Source organism: Homo sapiens, chromosome 9 (genome assembly GCF_000001405.40).
Source record: "Homo sapiens chromosome 9, GRCh38.p14 Primary Assembly".
NCBI lineage: Eukaryota > Metazoa > Chordata > Mammalia > Primates > Hominidae > Homo > Homo sapiens.
In genome coordinates, this window is record NC_000009.12 from 127,416,229 (window position 1) to 127,423,423 (window position 7,195).

Here is a 7,195-nt window from a genome sequence, read left to right on the forward strand (position 1 = left end):
AGAACTGAAGTCAACCCCATATTAAATACATCAGAACTTAACTCCAATTGCTCCACATTTACGTTGTTTCCAGTTTTCTGCTTATTGCTAATTTTGCTATTATATAGATATAAATTTAGAGGGAGATGAGAGAGACAATAGCAGCATCAAAGAGGAGAGAGGGGAGAGCAATGGCACAGAAGAGAGATGATGGAGATGAGTGATGGAGATGGAGACAGAGGTGATGGTGATGGTGGGGAAAAGGGAGATGATGGAGTTGGAGATAGAGATGGTAGAACTAGAGATAGACCTGTGCCAGCCGGGCGTGGTGGCTCATGCCTGTAATCCCAGCACTTTGGGAGGCCGAGGCAGGCAGATCACGAAGTCAAGAGATTGAGACCATCCTGGCCAACATGGTGAAACCCTGTCTCTACAAAAAACAAAAAATTAGCTGGGAGTGGTGGTGCGTGGCTGTAATCCCAGCTACTGGGGAGGCTGAGGTAGGAGAATCACTTGAACCAGGGAGGTGGAGATTGCAGTGAGCCAAGATCACACCATTGCACTCCATCCTGTTGACAGAGCAAGACTCTGTCTCAAACAAAAAAAAAAAAAAAAAAAAAAAGAAACCTGTGCCTAACTGAACAGAAACTTCCATAGGAGGGAACATTAGAGCATTAGAGGTGTCATTGCTGGCCAAGGGGTGTACATTGTCAAAGCTATTACACCCCAGAAGGTTACACATGGGCTGTGTCTGAAAGGGACCTATTCCCTCATCTCCAAATCAGTTATCAGGGAGTCCACACCATGGACCAAGGAAGAGGACCCGAGACAGGTTCATGCACACATTAGGTGTCTAATGACTGGGACAGCTGTTTTGCTTGATACCTCAGGCCACACAGGGCTTGAGCAAGCAGCCTAACCTCCCTAAACTACAGCCTCTGCTCGGGACACCCACTCTCATCCACCTCGCAGAAGACTGGTCTTTGTCCTGGATGAGTTCTCCAACTGGGGCTTCAGGCCAGAGGCTGCTCCCAGCTCTGGCTTGGCTGTTCTCCAGCCTCTGCAAAGCAGGGCTTGTAAAAAAAAGAGGGAAGGCAGGATGATGTGTCAGCCCCCAGGCTACAAGATAGATGGTAAACATGTGGGCAAGGAACATGTCACTGTGGCTTCAAACTCTTCCTCAGCCTCTCTCCTTTGCTCTCTGCTGGAGTCTGCATGGAGGGTAAGAGTGTGCTTAGTTCCAACTCTGGTTGTTCCACTCCCTGCCTATGTGATGTGGACAAGTCACCTGACCCCTCTCGGCCTGTTTCTTCATCTGTCAAATGGGCGTCATGGCACTACCTCCCTCATGGAGTTGTGAGGATGAAAGGCAAGAATTATGTAAAGCACCTGAACCTGGGGACGGGACAGAGTGAGTGCTCCGGCAATGGTCGCTGTTGTTACTGGTGCGAGTGAGGGTGGGGCAGGGGGCGTGGTGAAGGTGGGGAGCTGTGCTAGGCGGGTGGGAGGCCCTGGGGGGGGTTCATAAAGGGACATTTGAGATCTTCAATCATTTTTCTCCTTATATTCTATTTCCTACCTCGCCCTCTTGGCAACCCCCACCCACACCACCTGCTGTTGCTACCAGTACCCACTTACCCGTGCCAATAATGTGATTCATACTCTTCAGAGGTCCCTTTGTTTCCCTTTAAGTCTTCCCATCAGAGCACAGAATGCTTCGCGGACCCAGAGCCAGCCCCCATTGACCATCCTGTAGGGGCCCCAGAAGCCCAGCCTGGCGCCATCAGTAAAGGATTATGGAGAGGAGCACTGGATAGAACAGCCCCAGGGGACAGGTGCAGCATAAGCTTGCTTTACCCAGCCCAGGGCCGAAATCTGCACGGCCCACGGACGCCCACTACCCCCTTACACCATCCCAGCTCCTGCCCCAGAGTAACTTGGCTTCTGCAAACCAGAGAGACTTGTCCCTGATGCCCCCCGGGGACCAGGGGTGGAAGTGCATCAGCTGGAGCAAGACACACTAGGCTACCTCACGGTGGGCGTGTGCGGGATCCCAGGGCTAAGCCAGCAACCCTGTAGTGGCCATTGGGGTTGGCACCTACTGAGCCTGGGGCTGCACGCAGAATCGCACCAGCTGAGGTGTGACGCTCTCTGCCGCTGCCTTGTGGCCTGGGCAGGATGACACTGCCTCTGGTCCCCAACAGAGTGAAAGTGATTGATTATGACTCCAAAGCTCATTCAGCCTGCTGGACAAGGCAGGATCAGCCGAAGGGGTTGAAACCTGCTTCTGCTTGGTTTCTTTTGTTTGTTTGATTGTTTTTGAGACAGAGTATCACTCTGTCGCCCAGGCTGGAGTGTAGTGGCGTGATCTCGGCTCACTGCAATGTCCGCTTCCATGGTTCAAGCGATTCTCCTACCTCAGCCAACTGAGTAGCTGGGATTACAGGCGTGCACCACAACGCCCAGCTAATTTTTTGTATTTTTAGTAGAGACGGGTTTCACCATGTTGGCCAGGCTCGTCTCAAACTCCTGACCTCAGGTGATCCGCCTGTCTCGGCCTCCCAAAGTGCTGGGATTCCAGACATGAGCCACCGCGCCTGCTTGGTTTCTGGCTCCTTCTGCTCCTCTTTCCTCTGTCCCTTCCAGACCACACTCCCAGAGGGAGCACAGATCACGGCCCTCAGACTCCATCTCCCAACACGCTGCTGTGACAAGCACTAATGGCCTCCAGAAGGGCAACCCAACTCGCCCTCAAGGACACTGGGGGTGGTGGCATGGGAGCTGCAACCTCACATGGGACCCTGTGTTAGGGGGGACACCCGGTAGGGTCTGGCCTGGCTTCCTCTGCTGTAACTAAGTCACCGCTTCAGTCCTGCTGTCCTGACCACCCACAAGATGATCGGTCTCAGTCCCTGGGTCATTAGGATTGTCGATGTGTCAGAAGTCCCACTGTTGGAACACCTGCTATGCACGGTCTCTCACTGGGAGACCGAGGCACACCTTGCTTGACACCAGATGAAATGACCCAGACCCTCCTTGGTCTTTGGGGAGCAAATCTAGGAGAAAAGGACTTAGGGCAGGTCAGTCACTGAGCAGTGAGACAGGAAAGGCTCTGCAGGCTTGCACAGAAGGGATCGTTATGCGCATAGGGCTTCCCAGAGAAGGCTTCGAGCCCAGCCTTGATGACAGAAGAGCAGGCCAGGAGACAAGAGAGGCACCCAAAGGAAGGGAACAGCACATATGAGGTGTGACACAGCAGATGCCGTGTATAGTTTCTGCAAAACTTGAGGCTCCTCCTCCCAGCCTCCTTGGTGACTTCCTCTGCGTTGGCCGGACTGGGGCACTGCTGAGATGGTGCCACAAATAGCTGACCAGGAGATAACAGGATGATGGCAGCCATTGGTGGACTCTGGTCATCAGGAAATTGAGGCCCAATTGTTGCCTTAGCAACTATGGCTGGGGCAGGGAAAGGCTGGGGTTGAAATTACAAATTCGTCTGACATGCTGAAAAGAAGGGCCAGCAACACAAGGGTAGGGTCCTCCTTATCTCTGAGGCCCCACCCCTCAGAGCTGAGGCAAGGACGGAGCCTTTTTCTTAGCTACAGACATCACACACTAGGCCGGGGACAGTGGCTGTGCCTTCCTGATCACTCAGGAAAAAAGGAATGCCAAGCTTGGGTCTAGGGGTGGTGGCATGGGAGGAGTGTTGAAACAGGCACTTGGAGAACCCGTGCCTGCCCTGGGGGAACATCATTCATTCACTCTTTCAGCATCTGACTACCTACTGTGTGTCAGGCAGTTGTAGACACTGGTGATATGGTGGTGGCAAAGAATACAGCACCTGCTCTAATGGGAATTAGCTTCTGAAGAGAGGCAGACAATAAGAAGTAAAGAAACAAACAAAAGAATTAAACAGGTCACACCTGTCAGCCCAGTGCTTTGGGAGTATTTTTTTTTTTTTAATTAGCCAGGTCTGGCCTGGCGTGGTGGCTCACGCCTATAATCCCAGCACTTTGGGAGGCCGAGGTGGGCAGATCACCTGAGGTCAGGAGTTCGAGACCAGCCTAGCCAACATGGTAAAACCCCGTCTCTACTAAAAATACAAAAACTAGCCGGGTATGGTGGTGCGTGTCTGTAATCCCAGCTACTTGGGAGGCTGAGACAGGAAAATCGCTTGAACCCGGGAGGCGGAGATTGCAGTGAGCCGAGATCCCGCCACTGCACTCCAGCCTAGGCATCAGAGTGAGACTCCATCTCAAAAAAAAAAAAAAATATATATATATATATACACACACACACACACACACATATATATACATATATACACATATATATCTATATATACACATATGTGTGTGTGTGTGTGTGTGTGTATGTATAGGCCAGGTACAGTAGTTTATGCCTGTAATCCCAGCATTTTGGGAGGCCAAGGCGGGCCGATGACCTGAGGTCGGGAGTTCAAGACCAGCCTGACCAACATGGAGAAACTCTGTCTCTACTAAAAGTACAAAAAATTAGCCTGGCATGGTGGCGCATGCCTGTAATCCCAGCTACTTGGGAGGATGAGGCAGGAGAATCGCTTGAACCCAGGAGGCGGAGGTTGTGGCGAGCCAAGATCGTGCCATTGTGCTCCAGCCTGGGCAACAAGAGCGAAACTCTGTCTAAAAAATAAATAAATAAATAAATAATAAAATTAGCCAGGTGTGGTGGTGCAGACCTGGAATCCCAGCTACTCAGAAGGCTGAGGTGGGAGGACTGCTTAAGCTCAGAAGTCCAAGGTTGCAGTGAGCTATATGAGTGGTGTGCCACTGCACTCCAGCCTGGGTGACAGAGCAAGACACTGTGTCTAAATTAAGAAAAAAAAAAAAGTAAACCCAATCTATGTGAACTTATTCAACAGTGGAAAATGCTAAAAGGAAATAAAAAGTCACCATGGGAGCAGCAAGGGCTGTTACTGTACAGGGTACTAAGTGAGGGCCCCTCCTGAGACGTACGCTCAGACATCATGCATGAGAAGCGGCCAGCTGTGTTGAGTGCTGCTGGTCATGGCCCCGCAAGTGCAAAGGTTGTGTGGCAGGACGGAGGCTGGTGTGACCTCTGAAGCCATTAAGAGCCAGTGTGGCTCTGAGCAAAAGGAGAGGCAGGGAGCCGCAGCATGTGCTTGTGGAAGTAAGTAGCTGTCTTGTGGCCTTTCCTATGGCTCGTTTATTTTCTTTCTTTTTTTTTTTGTTTTTTTGTTTTTTTGAGACGGAGTCTCACTTTGTCTCCCAGTGAGCTCTCAGCTCACTGCAACCTCCACCTCCTGGGTTCAAGTGATTGTCCCACCTCAGCCTCCTGAGTAGCTGGGATTACAGGTGTGTGCCACCATGCCCAGCTATTTTTTTAATTTTTAGTCGAGACGGGGTTTCACCATGTTGGCCAGGCTGGTCTCAAACTCCTGACCTCAGGTGATGCACCTGCCTCAGCATTCCAAAGTGCTGGAATTACAGGCGTGAGCCACCACACCCGGCCTTGGCTCATTTTCTCCACAAAGCCATTTCCTCTGAGTCAGTGATTTTCAAACTTTATAGCGTATCAACTACAAGGATTGTCAAAACAAAGGCTGCTAAGCCCTGACCCCAGAATTTGTTTTATAGGTGTGGAGTGGGACCCCTGAATTTGCTTTTCTAACAACTTTTAAGGGGGATGCTGCTGCTGCTGGCCTGGGGATCCCACTTTGAGAACCACCACATTATTAAGGGGACAGGACACTGATTGCTTATGACAGCTGAGAGGCAAGACAAAGGAGAATCTCTTTTTTTTTTTTTTGAGATGGAGTCTTGCTTTGTCGCCCAGGCTGGAATACAGTGGTGCGATCTCGGCTCACTGCGACCTTTGCCTCCGGGTTCAAGTGATTCTCCTGCTCCAGCTCCCTGAGTAGCTGGGATTACAGGTGCGTGCCACCCCGCCCAGCTAATTTTTGTATTTTTAGTGGAGGCGGGGCTTCACCATGTTGGTCAGGCTGGTCTTGAACTCCTGACCTCGTGATCTGTCCACCTCGGCCTCCCAAAGTGCTGTGATTACAGGCGTGAGCCACTGCGACCAGGATGATCTTTCTAAGCAGTGTGTCTGTGCTTCAGGACACACAAGGGCCAAGTTAGGGCAGCCAGGGTCATGACCCTTTTGGCTGCTGTTGGAAGGGGAGGGGTGACACTTGCTCCTGGGTGCTCCCTTATCTCCACATACGCTATATCAGCGGGGTGGGGACAGCCTGAGGCTGGCCAGAGCTTTCTTGGGGGCCCTTCTCCCATCTTCCTTCTGCCACCTCAGGCCTCCTCAACACAGGAGGCCAGACAGAGGGGCAAGTTTGCCTCATTCTGGCCTCCTGGTCCCAGGGATATGAAACACTTCCTCTTCCCTAAGTGTCCTATCCATCCCAGTCTAGTTATGCTTCCTCTCCTCAAGGTAGCAAGATTTCTCTGACAAGAAACTTCTCTCTAGCCACTTGAGCCCAACGCCTCTTCTCAGGAGATGGGATTCAGGACTCTCAAGTGTGGGAGGAGTACATTAGCAACACTGGGAACATTTCCTGATCACGGATTCAATTCTGAAACGACCACGGCAGTGAGTCTAGAGTGAGGCCAGGTATCCCCCAGTGATCCAAAAAGCACTCTGGATGCAGCTTTCCTGAGAGCTGACAGGTCTGGGATACCTCTGCCAGCCTGACAGCCAGCTGGATCCTAGATTCCCGGTATCCATTCACTTCCATCTGGTTTTCTAATCCTGCTGTGGTCAGCAGAATACCACCCCCCAAAGATATACATGTCCTAATCCCCGGAACCTCTGAATATGTTAGGTTACATGACAAAAGGGAATAAAATTGCAAATGGAATTAAGGTTGCTAATCAGCTGGCCTTAACGATTCTCCTCAATTAGCTGGGTGAGCCCAGTGTTAACCATGAGGGTCCTTAAAAGTGGAAGAGGGCTGCGGAGGAGAGAGAACCATACAGAGGGCAGCAATGGACGGACTCTGGCTGAGGTTGCTACTTTGAAGTTGGAAGAAGGGGCTGCGAGTCAAGGATGCAGGCAGCCTCTGGAAGTTGGAAAAGGCAAGAAAAGATTCTCCCCTGGAACCTCCAGAAGGAATGCAGCACTGTCGACACCTTGATTTTAGCCCAGTGAGACCCACTTCAGACTTCTTACAAAACTGTAAGCCCCAAACTACAGCTGCCCAATA

The 7,195-nt window shown here is 51.3% G+C and overlaps 2 annotated features.

Moving 5' to 3' along the window:
• Positions 1,673–2,320: an enhancer, noted in NCBI's record as "H3K4me1 hESC enhancer chr9:130180180-130180827 (GRCh37/hg19 assembly coordinates)". NCBI's record gives its function as "activates a minimal SCP1, AML or CMV promoter by ChIP-STARR-seq in naive H9 embryonic stem cells {active_cell/tissue: H9 hESC(naive)}" and the evidence as "EXISTENCE:reporter gene assay evidence [ECO:0000049][PMID:30033119]".
• Positions 2,321–2,967: an enhancer, noted in NCBI's record as "H3K4me1 hESC enhancer chr9:130180828-130181474 (GRCh37/hg19 assembly coordinates)". NCBI's record gives its function as "activates a minimal SCP1, AML or CMV promoter by ChIP-STARR-seq in naive H9 embryonic stem cells {active_cell/tissue: H9 hESC(naive)}" and the evidence as "EXISTENCE:reporter gene assay evidence [ECO:0000049][PMID:30033119]".